This window comes from Homo sapiens, chromosome 1 (genome assembly GCF_000001405.40).
Source record: "Homo sapiens chromosome 1, GRCh38.p14 Primary Assembly".
In the NCBI taxonomy this organism is placed as follows: Eukaryota; Metazoa; Chordata; class Mammalia; order Primates; family Hominidae; genus Homo; species Homo sapiens.
The window spans coordinates 86131001-86147365 of record NC_000001.11 but is presented as its reverse complement, the minus strand read 5'-3'; the positions used below and the strand labels follow the sequence as shown (position 1 = coordinate 86147365).

The 16365-nt window shown below is 35.7% G+C and overlaps 1 protein-coding gene across 20 annotated transcripts in view; it reads left to right on the top strand.

Moving 5' to 3' along the window:
- The window catches only part of COL24A1 (collagen type XXIV alpha 1 chain), a 427752-nt gene that overhangs the window by 9619 nt on the left and 401768 nt on the right, over nt 1-16365 (top strand). For all 20 annotated transcript variants that reach the window (NR_146340.2, NR_146341.2, NR_146342.2 and 17 more), the window contains one exon: nt 1183-1247. Coding sequence is in view for 13 of the 20 variants with exons in the window: in XM_047417004.1 (XP_047272960.1) it covers nt 1183-1247 (65 nt within the window). In the remaining 7 variants the exon portion in view is untranslated. The remainder of the gene's footprint in view (nt 1-1182; nt 1248-16365) is intronic.

Genomic DNA, 16365 nt, shown 5'->3' with positions numbered 1-16365 from the left:
AATTTTAAAATTACTAACAAAGGATAAATACCATTTTAATACAAATGAAATTTGTGTTCCATTATAAATAGTCGAATTATATATTTGCTGGCTTAAGCTTTGTAAAAAGATCATCTTTCTTACATTAAGATGCTCCTTATACTAGTTGGTAAAGGTAAAAAACATCTTATTAGTAATAAATAGAAAATGTACCAATTACTACTAGTACATCAGGAATTTAATAAAAGGGAATTAATGGTTTATAGACAGCTCCATAATCACTCCTTGCGGAACTGCATTTTACAAATACATCATTTGAACAGTCCCTGGGTTAGAATCAAAAACAGAATCAGGGTCTATATTAGCAAAATTAGGTAATGAAGTATTGTTTTCAGCATGCTTATCATCTCTCTTCAAAATTATTTCTGTAATTTTCATTTTGGAGGTAGATACAGCCAATTATGAAGAATGTTCAACAAAATTTATTAAAAGTTTGGTTATACTAGCAATGTCACAAAACATTTTTGCTTAGATAGCTTATCAATACTAATGGACATTTTAATTTGTAGTGATTGGGTATTGTGCTCATAGCTACTACTAATCAAAATGCTCAATGTTGACATCTACAGGCCATTGCTATTTTCAAAACCAAAAAATCATGAATCTAGTACGAGTGATTTAAGTATGATATTCAAATGGCTTTCACATATAACCATTAAACAAATAAATAGCTGGTTCCATTAACTTATAATCACTATAGTTAAGCAACTGTAATTTGCGTTATTTTTGTGGAAATTTCTATTACTTTGTATGAAATTGCATATATGGTAATTTAACATAATATATGATAATAATACCACCTATACTAGTTCATATTTATTGAATGTTTCCTATGTGCCAGGTACTGTTTTCTGTGCTTTACATGAAGTTTTTAAGTTAATCTTCAGAAAATCTTATGAGATAGGTTTAACAGATAAAGCAGCTAAGGCATAGAATGATTAAAAATGTGCCCAAGTCACATAGTAAGTGGCAAAACTGGAATTTCACTTCAGAGCCTTTGGTCTTAACCACTATGAATATTAAAATATCATGCTATTTAAAATAATTGCTTAATTCTTAATCTTGCATAGACTGTTTTGGATTCTATATGGTTGTAAATGTCCAACTAGTAAGTTTTTCCCAAATGCTTTTTTCTTTTCCTAGGAAATCACTTCTTCATTTTATTGTACTATGTGTGGCTGGGGTGGTTGTTCATGCACAAGAACAAGGTAAGAAAATTACCTTTTAATTTATTTGCTTACTTAAAAATTCTACTTCCAGACAGCAAAAGTACATAACTTTCAACTCATTATAACTGTAAATTCAACATTAAACAATAACAAAAATTCCACCCAGTACCATGAGAATGTAAGATTAAAGAAACCAATTTTGAGGGGAAATACGACCTTTAAGAAATTACTCATATCTTCCGTCTGTGAAATTGCTTACATTTTTAAGCAAACTCTATAAAAAAGAAGTTTTGTACAATAAAAAGGCTTTGCTTGTGACTTCATTTTAAGTGGGAGTTCTTGGGGGTGGCAAACTGTGACTGAATTACCTTTGCACTTCTTGATACAACAAAAGCATATAAAAAATGTTCCGTCCAGATTTGCATCATTAAGAAACAAAATGGAATTTGCATACTAGTGGGCTTAGGATTCTATGTAATTCAAATGGAGAGGTTTAGAAAATAAACCTAAACCTGTTTTGTTTGTGCCTACTAGTTAATTACTCTGGTAGTATGATGATAGAGTTTCAGGAGTCTATGTATATCCTAATTCATTCATTTAAACATGATTGATGCATCTTCTATTTCCTGTGTAATATCCTATTGCCAATGATTGGAAATGTAAATAAGATAATGTCTGTAGCATCAAAGTGAAAAAAATGCCTTTATCAAAGGTAAAAAACATACCAAAGTCAAAGAGACAAATCCTAGAACTGTGCTGGACCTACAGATAATATTACCAAGGCCTCAGATTTGTTTGTTTGTTTTTCTCCTCTGCCTTAAAGGTAGCAAAGGGCTCTTCTGCACAGAGCTGCCAAAGCATTAATTCTTACAGAACCAAGTTTTCAGTTGAGTGGTCAGTTTGATGAACCCCTTGTCAGTTTGATCAATTGATCAAATAACAGTAAGAAAAAGACAAGTAAACAAATTATGAATGAAATATGTGCAAGGTAGAGAGAGGGCAAAAAGGAAGAGTGGTACTCTGGTTGACCAAATTGACAAGTAGATACAGATAAATATTCTTTCAAATATCACATAGATGAATTAAAATATTTCTTAGAAGACATTTTCTAAATCTCTTTTATGGGAAATGATTAAGCCACATGTCACATGTAACTTCATGAAAAACTATTCTTAACCAAGGCATTTATGTTACTTCATTTAGCTTGAAGTAGCCATGAAGAGGAGAAAAACTCTCTCTCTTAATTTATTGTTATTATCACGGTTACTGTTTCTGAGAACTTACTATGAGCTACTAGTCACTGTGCTATTAGAATGTACATTTACTTCACTGCTGCCTCATCACAGGGTTTTGTAATTATGGCCATGATAGAATTGCTGAAACTGAGATTAAGGAGAATAGGTAACCACCTCCAAGTAAAAGCTTAATGAATGGAAGAACCAAGATTTGAGCTCATATTTTGACTGCAAAGTCTACAAATTCCTTAAAATTGAGGCTCCTAGAGCCACAGAGAAGATAAGGAAGAGAAGAATACAATTATTAATTAAATGTATATTTTGTATCATCTCTTTTGCTGGTACTTTACATATATTATTCTAATCATCATAATGAACCTGCAGAGTAGGTATTATAGATGAAGAAACTGAGACTCAAAGAAGTGGCTCACCTACAGCTTAGATTTGAATCTAGGTCTGTCCGTCTCTGAAGACAAAACTCTTTCCCTTAGACGTCCTCTAGCTTCACAGTTGCCAGCCACTGGCATTATGAGTTTAATAATTTACCAAAGATATTATTATCAAAATATTAGAAACCCATGCAAAGAAAGATATAGGGAAAATTAAATATTTATGAACTTATTTTTTAAAAATCTAGAACCAACAAAAGGAATAAATGAAAGAAACAACATATTTCTCTCACCCTTAAGATCTCATTTATGGAATGTAAAATATGTTATTTTATTTCAGGGCAAGCATCATAATTTTCAATTTTATACACCTAAAATTTTATTGCCAGTTCTTAACAAAAAGAAAAGTCCTTTAGAAAACCTCTCAGACTTTAGAAAATTGAATATTTTTGAGCACAAAAAAAGAAATGGAAATAGCATATTATCAGAAACTTAGAAACACTTTTTTCCTAAAAGAAATTTTCTGATTAAATTGGCACGATGCAATTTGTAACATCTAATCAGGAGACTGGAAAACCATTATCAGATAAATTGTGTTTTTATATGATCACAGATATTATTTATATTAATACTGCTGAATATGTTTGAGTGAGAGATTATCCTAAGTTAGACTTATCAGAAATAAATATTTGTATGCTTATGAGATTTTTCAAAACTTAAAAAAGTATATCAAAGAATTACAAGTACTGTACAAAGTTTAAAGGCCAAATTGTATGACAAAACATATAGCAAAAAGCAGTGTCCCTTCCCCTTACCCACTCCTACTATTGTCTGCCCAAACTCTTTTAGCACCTTCTTTTGGTTTTAACATCTATATTTAATACTATAATATGTTTAAATATTATATTGACTTCCTATTATTAATGATGAGGACTTAACATTACTATTCTCTGTGTCTCCTTTCCCTACTTCTATTCTCTCAATATAGTTTTATCCAATTTTTGGTTAATTTAATATTCACAATTCAGCTTATTATGACCATGTGTATATTTTTTTATCACTGAGCCATGTACGTTTATATTTTTTTCTTGTGAATTAACAAGATTGCCTCCTTTTCTGTTTGCTTTATGTTCTATGTCACTATCACTAAATCTCAGATATTTTGAAATATATTTTCCCCCAAACGCACCAAGTACTCCAGAAATTTGATTCTTTTCTTGGAGATATTCCTTCTGCATGCTAAAATTCTGCTCTGCTATGGACCAGTAGTTCTCTAAGCTTCCAGTAGAGCTGATATCTGTGTTAGATGGAGTTTCTTGGAAGTCTTATGTCATTTTTCATAGTCTATTTCCTTATTTATTTGGGTGCAGCACATCCTCTAGTTGCATCCTGAGAATATGCACTTGGGTGGTGCATTTTTTACAACATTCCATTTCTGAGAATGTGTTTATTCTCAGTCTTACAGGTAGTTCAGGTGAGTATAAAATTTTAGGCTGTAAATATTATTCCCTCAGAATTTGAAATATTTTCATCTTTTGCCTTTTTTTATCTGGCTTGCAGACTTTTTAAATCTGATGTTATATTAATTCTTGATCCTTTATATGTGACCTTTTAATTTCCCTTTTAATCCCTTAAGATCATCTATTTATCTTTGATGTTTTGGAAGGTTACAATAATCTGTCTTGGTACAGGTCTTTTTACAATTCATTGTGCTAGGCACTTAGTAGGCCTTTTCAGTGTGGAAGCATCCTTAATTTTCTGGGAATTTTCCTGCGTTATGTTTTTCTTCCTGATATATTTATTTCCTCTTTCTTCAATATCTTTTAAATATTAAATCTTCAGTATTGGGCTCTTTATTTTCTTATTTTTAGATCCTATTTTCCGTCTTTGTTTTATGTACTACTTTATGTGAGATTTTTCATCACTTACTATTCCAAACATTTTGTTTAATTTCTTATTTCTTCTGTGTTTAAATTGTTTTTTTTGTTTTTTGTTTTTTGTTTTTTTTTTTGAGGCAGTGTCTCACTCTGTCGTCCAGGCTGGAGTGCAGTGGCGCAATCTCGGCTCACTGCAAGCTCTGCCTCCCAGGTTCACGCCATTCTCCTGCCTCAGCCTCCCGAGTAGCTGGGACTACAGGCACCCACCACCACGCCCAGCTAATTTTTTGTATTTTTAGTAGAGACAGGGTTTCACCGTGTTAGCCAGGATGGTCTCGATCTCCTGATCTCGTGATCCTCCCGCCTCGGCCTCCCAAAGTGCTGGGATTACAGGCGTGAGCCACAGCGCCTGGCCTCTGTGTTTAAATTTTTAAGGGTTTTTTCACTGAGACTAGTCTTTTTTTTTTTCATCCTGTTCTCGTTTCTTTGATGCAATGTCTACTTTTATCTCTGTAAGGATAAGAATGACGATTTTTTCAACTTTTCTTCTGCTCTCTGCATTGTCTTTGTTCTAAATTTTTGTATTGGTCTGTCTTTTATGTTGGAGAAGTTGTTTATAAGTATGCAACATTTCTGTTATCATTTAAAAGTAAGACACTGGCCAGATGCGAGGCTCATGCTTGTAATCCCAGCACTTTGGGAGACTGAGGCGGGTACATTATCTGAGGTCAGGAGTTCGAGCCTGGCCAAAATGGTGAAACCCCATCTCTACTGGAAAATACAAAAACATTAGCCGGATGTGGTGGCATATGCCTGTAATCCCACCTACTTGGGAGGCTAAGGCAGAAGAACTACTCGAGCCCAGGAGACAGAGGTTGCAGGGCGCTGAGATCGTGCCAGTGCACTCCAGCCTGGCTGACAGAGTGAGACTCTGTCTCAAAAAAAAAAAAAAAAGTAAGACACTAAAAATATGCTTAACAACTGTTTGCATGGGTAGGCTAGTTAACTGAGATGTTTCACATAGAGGATGATTAAGTAGAAACCTGTCTGACTATTTTGTTAGGCTACACATGTCTAAGGCATGTAGAGAAGGATCCTCCAATACCTTACTTGTAGAATATAATCCTGGTTGCCACTGTTATTAGAGTTCAGTGATATAAAGAGGTTCTTGGGTTGATGGGGGGAGGATTGTCTCACAATTTTGTATGTCAATTTTAGCCAAATCCCTTCTCAATACAGAGCTTCCCTTCCATTTTCCTCTACGATTGATTCAATGCTTCTATGTCATTAACCTTTGGTCTCCTTTAGTCTGGAAACTTCTTATACAAACTTTCAATCCTCCACCCTCACATATCCTCAACCCCCAATTTGAAGCCTCAATGCTGAATTCATTGATTTGGTGCCTTCAATTCTTGAGCCTTTTCAGGATTTTGCAATATGAATCAGCCTGCCTGTCATTAGCATTTGCCTCTGAAGCCCTTAGGTTCAGTTTTTTCAGCTCTGGTAATTTCTTCGTGTGCTTTTCATTTTCCAAAAATTTGTTGATATATTTTGTCTGCTGTTGTCTCTTCTACTCATTAACTTTTTCCCTGTAGTTCTAAACCACATTTCCTTATTCTCATTTGAGTAAGATTTTAAGAATGAGAAGAAATAAGCATCTATGTGATTTGTCACGGTTTCAGTAAATTCCCTTAAATTTTAACACAGCTAAGAAAAAACATTTTAAGTACCTTATTAATAGATGTAAATTGTATATTTTTTATGTCCAAGTTTTAGGTGTAATCTAATGAATAAATGATTCTATCTCCAGAAAAATTAATTATGTAAGTCTGAGTTTTCTGAGGATTTGACAGATGTAGATACCTTTTCTTACCTGATATGTGTATTTTTGTTATTACTTTGTCTGTGTTGGTGGGATGGCTGCCAGTGAGATGTTGGCATAGCTACAACACTTCTCTACAATGACTTGCACCATGCATAATGTGTAACTAATTCTTAACATGCACATCTTTCTCAGGTTCATGATCCCTAGGTGTGAAAACCACGTGTGTAAAAATCTCTGTGTAGAATATTCATCTCGAAGAATTTCCCATAGAAATTAATCTGAAATGTGTTTATTGTTAACAGAAGCAGTTCATTGTAGCTGCAGTAACTTCAAGTCCTTTCTTCACAAACACTTGTATGGGCACTTAGCCAAAACTTCTATACACAGCTTAGAGCTTCATTTCTCATTTTATAAATAAATTAGCATTTATCTCTTTATACAGAATAGATGTGCTATTTAAAGTAAGAATACTTCTAAGAAACGATTGCCACCTTTAACATACCCAGTGTGACAGTGGTATTTAAGCACAGGTGTTCCAGAGCCAGCATCTTAGAGTTAAGCCCAGTTTCCGCCATTTATTAGCTAACTGACCTTGAGCAAGTTTCTTAAATACTCTCTGAGCCTCATTTTTAACAATGCTAAAGTGAAGAAAATAGTAATACTTACTACACAAGGCTGTCGTGTGGATAAAATAACACATGTAAAGTGCTTAGCACAGTGCCTGTTACATAAGGATACAATAACTTTGATTAGAAGAAGGGGAATACTCCAGATCCTTTTCTTTTCCCATATCCTCATAATATTGAAAAAATAAAATAAAATGGTTTATTTTAAACAGTTTCCTTTAGTTCCTTAATTCAGTGAACTGGAGCTAGGAAGCTGTATTTGAGTCTTGATTCTGATATTGACTATTTAGCTGAGACTATAAAAAATAATACAAAATGAATATTGGGCAATTATCTAGTTAATTTAGTCAGTTTAAGTAAATTGGCAAGAAAAAGAAAAGTGTGTCGAAGTCTATAATCATTCTCATTTGCAAATTTGGTGATTTTATTTTAAACAGTCATATTTGTTCTTTCCTACAAACTGGAAAGAATATAGCTTTGGGATGTAACTGATCAAGACATATGAAAATTTTAAACAGTGAGAATTCATTAAATTTAAGTGCTATGTTATATTAATTTAGTTATTTAATAGTTAAGAGTTAACTCTGTAACTTGTTATACTTTATAAAGCGATATATTACTCCTTTTTATCTAAAAATTGGTAACTTTCTTTTAAGTATTTTAAACTACCAATTACTAAGAGATGTAAAAATCTGTCCATTTTGAGGTAGTAAACATAATAGTACAATTCTTCTTCTTCCAATTTGTGATAGACTATCGCTGAATATTGACACATTTAATGGTTCTTTGGTTCTCTGTACTTGTAAAATGAGTTATAACCATTGGATCTCCCATATCTATTTCTTTAGGCATATACTATATTCCCCCCACAGAGTCAATTGATATAGTCACTGAGTTTAGAGTCAAAGACTTGGTTATGAGTCATAGTTTTATCCTCTACTAAGACTTAATTTCACCTTTCTCCCTCACTCTTTCTCCATCCCTCTTTCTCGATCTACTACTTCTCTCTCCTCCCTCTCCCCCCCCTTTCTCCTTCTCCCTCATCTTTCTTTTATTCTAACTTGTGATAACAACATCAGTGCTGCTTACTCTACAAGTTTCAAATGAAAGGCAAGTAAGTTTGGGCTGTCTGTGTTTATATAGTATGTCAGCTTTGTAAGCTTAGAAGACTGATTTTATTAGCATACTAAGAGAGGATCTATTTCTCATCAGTGTTTAACGAAACAACAACAAACAAAAATTGCGCTGATGACTTAAAGGGGAGGTAACCACTTGAACTGAGCCTTGCAGGATGAGTAAAGATTGGCATGAAGGGATATACTTAGCAGGGCTCTGACGGGATGAGATAAAAAAAAAAGCAGATAAGCTTTGTTATGGCAAGAAATTCAAGGAAGAGTACATACAGAGAGTGGAGAATGCTGTGAAGTGAGCAGATATATCAGTGAAGAGAAAAATAAGTAAGGGGTATGTCTTAATCTGTTTTCATGCTGCTGATAAAGACATACTCAAGACTGGGCAATTTACAAAAGAAAGAGGTTTAGTGGACTTACAGTTCCATATAGCTAGGGAGGCCTCACAATCATGGTGGAAGGCCAGGAGGAGCAAGTCACATCTTACCTCGATGGCAGCAGGCAAAGAGAGAGCCTGTGCAGGGAAACTCCCCCTTAAAAAACCATCAGATCTAGTGAAACCCATTCACTATTGCGAGAAAAACATGGGAAAGACCTGGTTCAATCACCTCCCACCAGGTCCCTCCCACAACATGTGGGAATTCAAGATGAGATTTGGGTGAGGACACAGCCAAACCATATCAGGGTAGTATAAAGTTAGAGAGCTGTCCCAAAGACCACCCTTACTTCTGACACTAGCTTCAAGTTAAGGGGTCCCCAAGACTACTCTCAGCCTCAGTAATACTTTAGAAGGACTCACAGAACTTACCAAAATTCGTTATACTCAGAGAGTTCACTGAAGTGTTGTATTCACAGTTAAGAATACAGATTAAAATCAATACAAGGATACAGATTAAAATCAATATATTCACAGTTAAGGATACAGATTAAAATCAATACACGGGTTTAAAGCGTCCCAAGAAAGAACAGTAAGTACAAATGCCATGAGTTTAAAATTAGTTGGGTGGGTTTAAGAATGAAGGAAAATACTAGTTTGGCTGGAGCAAAATTAGGTAAGATAAAATGATAGGAGATGTGATCAGAGAGATAAGAAGAGAATAAATGGCATAGGTGTCTTATACCATGGAAAGCCATTGGACGATTTTGGTCAGAAGACTGGCATAATCTACTTTACACTATGAAAAGATTGTTCTGCCTGCTTGTGTGGTTGTGAGACTCTTCACTGAGAGAAGCACTCAAGTAAGAAAAATGAGGTTTGGGGAAAATACATTGAAGTGGAAATGCTTTTGAAACATCTCATTTCTATTGGATAAATTCAATAGACAATTGGATATGCAAGCCCAGAAGAGAGGTTTGTGAGTCAGCATATGTGGTTGTTGCAGCCATGGTTTGGATGAAGTCATTAGGCCTGGTATTTATAGAAAAAAGAACAAGTCGTTGTCTTGGTGACACCACCATTTATTTTACACTTCAGAAGCAAATAAAGGAAGGAGATACAGTCAGTTCTGCTGTTACTTAACACAAACCTTTCCTAAATTTCACCATGTTAAGAAGTTGGCCTTAGATGACCTGCATGCAAATTCTGCCTCTGCACTCCCTAGCTGGGTAAGCTTGGGCAAATAATTTAACTTTTCTATGACTTACTTTTCCTAACTCTCACATGTAGATAACAACAGTGCCTACTTCATACAGTTGTTATGCAAATTATGTGACTTAAAATATTAAAGTTCTTAGAATAGTGCTTGGTACATGGAAATTTAATACATGCTGCTATAATTCTTATTTTTTAAAAATGTAAAGCACCTAATATAGTGCTGGGTTGATCATTAATATTCTTTAAATGGTAACTGATTTTCCAAGTGACATGAACTGGATTGATTTTTTATATAGGGCCACTCACAAAACAAGCAATTTACTTCCGGCAACTTAGTTATTTCTTGTAAACATTGGTACGAAATATCTAAATTCAACCCCTAATTGTAATTTGGTGATATCCAAGTCCAGGTATAAATTACATGTTAAAGAGTCTGACCTCTGAGTGAAAGCCTTTCTTCTTCTTCTCTTGCCCACCCCCATTTTTTTTGTCTGCAGTTCTCCTCAGCTCCAGTCATATGTGCCTTCTACCCTTAAGTGTTCTTTAATCTCTCTTCTCTTAAGATCTTGCTCAAACACATTTGCTAAGTGTATTCATACTCAGGTAAGAAAGCTTAAAATTAGGATGACAATTTGATGATTTCACTTCAGGTACCAATTTTGGTGGCTATCTAGAGAGTATTCCCCACTGAGATTTCTGTGGGGTAAAAGTAATACTGCCATGATTAATTAGTGAGATTTGCCAAGGGATATGTGGAGTGGTGTGGGGAATATAATGGCTGAGAGGTCGTGTGGTGGAGCAGTCAGAGACCTTAAAGCCATATTGATTGGGCTCAAATGCATCGCTACCATTTATCAGCTGTGTGACCTTTACCAAGTTATTTAATCTCTCTGTGCTTCAGAGATTTTTCATTTGTGAAATGGGTGTAGACTTTAAGTATAAAGTTGAAACCAAGAGATACTATCTTCCCATTTTTGGCCTTGGATATCATACAATAGAAAAAAATGAATGAAATAATAAACTTAAAAATCACTTTCAGCAAAACTAGGGGACTAATATAATCTGCAAATCCCCAAAATGTGCTCAGAAAAGCAGATGCCATATGGAATAAGGTCAATAGTGAGACTTCAGAAAGCACCAGCAAAACCAGACTTCCTGAAGGTGAGAAACACACCCCAAAATATACATTTAGCCCTTGTACACAAGTGCTACAGGGTCTGGGGAAGGCAGAAGCTGCCAAGGGGAAAGTATAATAAATAAGCACAGATAATAGCTAAAATGGATGAGTGGGGACAGATCTCAGAAAATGCAAAAATCTACTCACTGAGATGAAGGATTCATTCTGAAGCATATACCAATGTGAGTGGATATGGAGGAAAGAGAATGAAGGGTTGTATATAGAGCTGGCTGCAGAAGTCCTCCTGGACTAGATTTGGTTTAGAGAAGAAGGTGGGGCTAGAAGCCATTTAGAATGAAACTGGTAGTACCGGAGCAGAGCCTTTGGGTTTTGAGACTTGGAAGTCACAGCCCATCCTCTTCTTCTGCCAGCATCTTTCTATAAGTTGCTAGGCTAGGAATTAATGAGCAAAAGGAGTTGGCACAGCACAAGTAGAAATATACAATAAGGAAACATGTAAGGAAAAGCAGCAAAAATGAGAATGTACACACAAAAAAATGTTGCTGTTAAACTGACAAATATTCTGACCAAATATGTCCCCCTTATCACCTACACAAAGAAAGATACTAAGGCAGAAATGAAAGAACTCAGGGAAAAGTAAAAGAAGGCAATATATTAAAAGGATATGAATTGTGAGCTTGTAGAAGTCAGTAAAGAAGTCATACAAAAATTATCTCATAAATCAAGATGAAATGGGAAGGAGCACAAAGGGAAGTTATACTTTGTAGGAAACAGTAAAGACAAATAAGAAAATCAAACAAACAAAAATGAATTTAAAGAACATAATAAAAAGGATTATAGAGAAATGATATATGAGACATATAGAAGACAACAATGATTCAATATACTCATAATACGAATTTTTAAAGAAGAAAATCGTAAACTAATGAGCAAAATAACCAGCTAACATCATAATGACAGGATCAAATTCATACATAACAATATTAATCTTAAGTGTAAATGGGCTAAATGCTCCAATTAAAAGACACAGACCGGCAAATTGGATAAAGAGTCAAGACACATCAGTGTGCTGTATTCAGGAAACCCATCTCACGTGCAGAGACACACATAGGCTCAAAATAAAGGGATGGAGGAAGATCTACCAAGCAAATGGAAAACAAAAAAAGGCAGAGGTTGCAATCCTAGCCTCTGATAAAACAGACTTTAAACCAACAAGGATCAAAAGAGACAAAGAAGGCCATTACGTAATGGTAAAGGGATCAATTCAACAAGAAGAGCTAACTCTCCTAAATATACATACACCCAATGCAGGAGCACCCAGATTCATAAAGCAAGTCCTTGGAGACCTACAAAGAGACTTAGACTCCCACACAATAATAATGGGAGACTTTAACACCCCAATGTCAGCATTAGACAGATCCACGAGACAGAAGGTTAACAAGGATATCCAGGAATTGAACTCAGCTCTGCACCAAGTGGACCTAATAGACATCTACAGAACTCTCCACCCCAAATCAACAGAATATGCATTCTTCTCAGCACCACATCGCACTTATTCCAAAATTGACCACATAGTTAGAAGTAGAGCACTCCTCGGCAAACGTAAAAGAACAAAAATTATAACAAATTGTCTCTCAGGCCACAGTGCAGTCAAACTAGAACTCAGGATTAAGAAACTCACTGAAAACCGCACGACTACATGGAAACTGAACAACCTGCTCCTGAATGACTACTGGGTACATACCGAAATGAAGGCAGAAATAAAGATGTTCTTTGAAACCAACGAGAACCAAGACACAACATACCAGAATCTCTGGGACACATTCAAAGCAGTGTGTAGAGGGAAATTTATAGCACTAAATGCCCACAAGAGAAAGCAGGAAAGATCTAAAATTGACATCCTAACTTCACAATGAAAAGCACTAGAGAAGCAAGAGCAAACACATTCAAAAGCTAGCAGAAAGCAAGAAATAACTAAGATCAGAGAAGAACTGAAGGAAATGGAGACACAAAAAACCTTCAAAAAATCAATGAATCCAGGAGCTGGTTTTTTGAAAAGATCAACAAAATTGATAAACCGCCAGCAAGACCAATAAAGAAGAAAACAGAGAAGAATCAAATAGACGCAATAAAAAATGATAAAGGGGATATCACCACCGATCCCACAGAAATATAAACTACCATCAGAGAATACTATAAACACCTCTACCCATATAAACTAGAAAATCTAGAAGAAATGGATAAATTCCTCAAAATATACACCCTCCCAAGACGAAAGCAGGAAGAAGTTGAATCTCTTCATAGACCAATAACAGGCTCTGAAATTGAGGCAATAATTAATAGGTTAGCAACCAAAAAAAAGTCCAGGACCAGATGGATTCACAGCCGAATTCTACCAGAGGTACAAGGAGGAGCTGGTACCATTCCTTCTGAAACTATTCCAATCAATAGAAAAAGAGGGAATCCTCCCTAACTCATTTGATGAGGCCAGCATCATCCTGATACCAAAGCCTGGCAGAGACACAACAAAAAAAGAATTTTAGACCAATATCCCTGATGAACATCAATGCAAACATCCTCAATAAAATACTGGCAAAACGAATCCAGCAGCACATCAAAAAGCTTATCCACCATGATCAAGTGGGCCTCATCCCTGGGATGCAAGGCTGGTTCAACATACACAAATCAATAAACGTAATCCAGCATATAAACAGAGCCAATGACGAAAACCACATGATTATCTCAACAGATGCAGAAAAGGCCTTTGCCAAAATTCAACAGCGCTTCATGCTAAAAACTCTCAATAAATTAGGTATTGATGGGACGTTTCTCAAAATAATAAGTGCTATCTATGACAAACCCACAGCCAATATCTACTGAATGGGAAAAACTGGAAGCATTCCCTTTGAAACCTGGCACAAGACAGGGATGCCCTCTCTCACCACTCCTACTCAACATAGTGTTGGAAGTTCTGGCCAGGGCAATCATGCAGGAGAAGGAAATAAAGGGTATTCAATTAGGAAAAGAGGAAGTCAAATTGTCCCTGTTTGCAGATGACATGATTGTATATCTAGAAAACCCCATCGTCTCAGCCCCAAATCTCCTTAAGCTGATAAGCAACTTCAGCAAAGTCTCAGGATACAAAATCAATGTGCAAAAATCACAAGCATTCTTATACACCAACAGACAAACAGAGAGCCAAATCATGAGTGAACTCCCATTCACAATTGCTTCAAAGAGAATAAAATACCTAGGAATCCAGCTTACAAGGGATGCGAAGGACCTCTTCAAGGAGAACTACAAACTGAAATAAGAGGATACAAAAAATGGAAGAACATTCCGTGCTCATAGGTAGGAAGAATCAATATCGTGAAAAAGGGCCATACTGCCCAAGGTAATTTACAGATTCAATTCCATCCCCATCAAGCTACCAATGACTTTCTTCACAGAACTGGAAAAAACTACTTTAAAGTTCATATGGAACCAAAAAAGAGCCCGCATTGCCAAGTCCATCCTAAGCCAAAAGAACAAAGCTGGAGGCATCACACTACCTGACTTCAAACTATACCACAAAGCTACAGTAACCAAAACAGCATGGTACTGGTACCAAAACAGAGATATAGACCAATGGAACAGAACAGAGCCCTCAGACATAATGCCACATATCTACAACTGTCTGATCTTTAACAAATCTGACAAAAACAAGAAATGGGGAAAGGATTCCCTATTTAACAAATGGTGCTGGGAAAACTGGCTAGCCACATGTAGAAAGCTGAAAATGGATCCCTTCCTTACACCTTATACAAAAATTAATTCAAGATGGATTAAAGACTTACATGTTAGACCTAAAACCATAAAAACCCTAGAAGAAAACCTAGGCAATACCATTCAGGACATAGGCATGGGCAAGGACTTCATGTCTAAAACACCAAAAGCAATGGCAACAAAAGCCAAAATTGACAAATGGGATCTAACTACACTAAAGAGCTTCTGCACAGCAAAAGAAACTACTATCACAGTGAACAGGCAACCTACAGAATGGGAGAAAATTTTTGCAATCTACTCATCTGACAAAGGGCTAATATCCAGAATCTACAATGAACTCAAACAAATTCACAAGAAAAAAACAAACAACCCCATCAAAAAGTGGGCAAAGGATATGAGCAGACACTTCTCAAAATAAGACATTTATGCAGCCAACAGACACATGAAAAAATGCTCATCATCACTGGCCATCAGAGAAATGCAAATCAAAATCACAGTGAAACACCATCTCACACCAGTTAGAATGGTGATCATTAAAAAGTCAGGAAACAACAAGTGCTGGAGAGGAGGATGTAGAGAAATAGGAACACTTTTACACTGTTGGTGGGACTGTAAACTAGTTCAACAATTGTGGAAATCAGTGTGACGATTCCTCAGGGATCTAAAACTAGAAATGCCATTTGATCCAGCCATCCCATTACTGGGTATATACCCAAAAGATTATAAATCATGCTGCTATAAAGACACATGCACACATATGTTTATTGCGGCACTATTCACAATATCAAAGACTTGGAACCAACCCAAATGTTCAACAATGATAGACTGGATTAAGAAAATGTAGCACACATACACCATGGAATACCATGCAGCCATAAAAAATGATGAGTTCATGTCCTTTGTAGGGACATGGATGAAGCTGGAAACCATCATTCTCAGCAAACTATCACAAGGACAAAAAACCAAACACTGCATGTTCTCACTCATAGGTGGGAATTGAACAATGAGAACACATGAACACAGGAAGGTGAACATCACACACTGGGGCCTTTGTGGGGTGGGGGGAGGGGGGAGGGATGGCATTAGGAGACATACCTAATGTTAATGACGAGTTAATGGGTGCAGCACACCAACATGGCACATGTGTACATATGTAACAAACCTGCACATTGTGCACATGTACCCTAAAACTTAAAGTATATATATAAAAAAGAAAACCAAAACTATGAAATAGAACCAATATTCAAGGATACAATTCATTAAAAGTTTGCTGAAGTAAATAAAAAAAATTTGAACCTGTGCAATGAATGATCATACTATGCACCTGGAAACATTTATCAAGAATGGTCAATATGGTGCCATATTCTTATAAAATTCCTGCATTTCAAAGATAAAGAACAACTCTTGAAGAATGTTGATAACTACGGAGTCACTTGTAAGGAGAAAAATATTTAGCTGACTTCAGATTTAGAAAGACTACCTGAGAACCATGGAACAGCAGCTGCAAGATATTCAAGGAAATAAAGTATCATGAAAGAATTTTATATCCCATGAAATTTAAGGTACAAGGCTACAAAA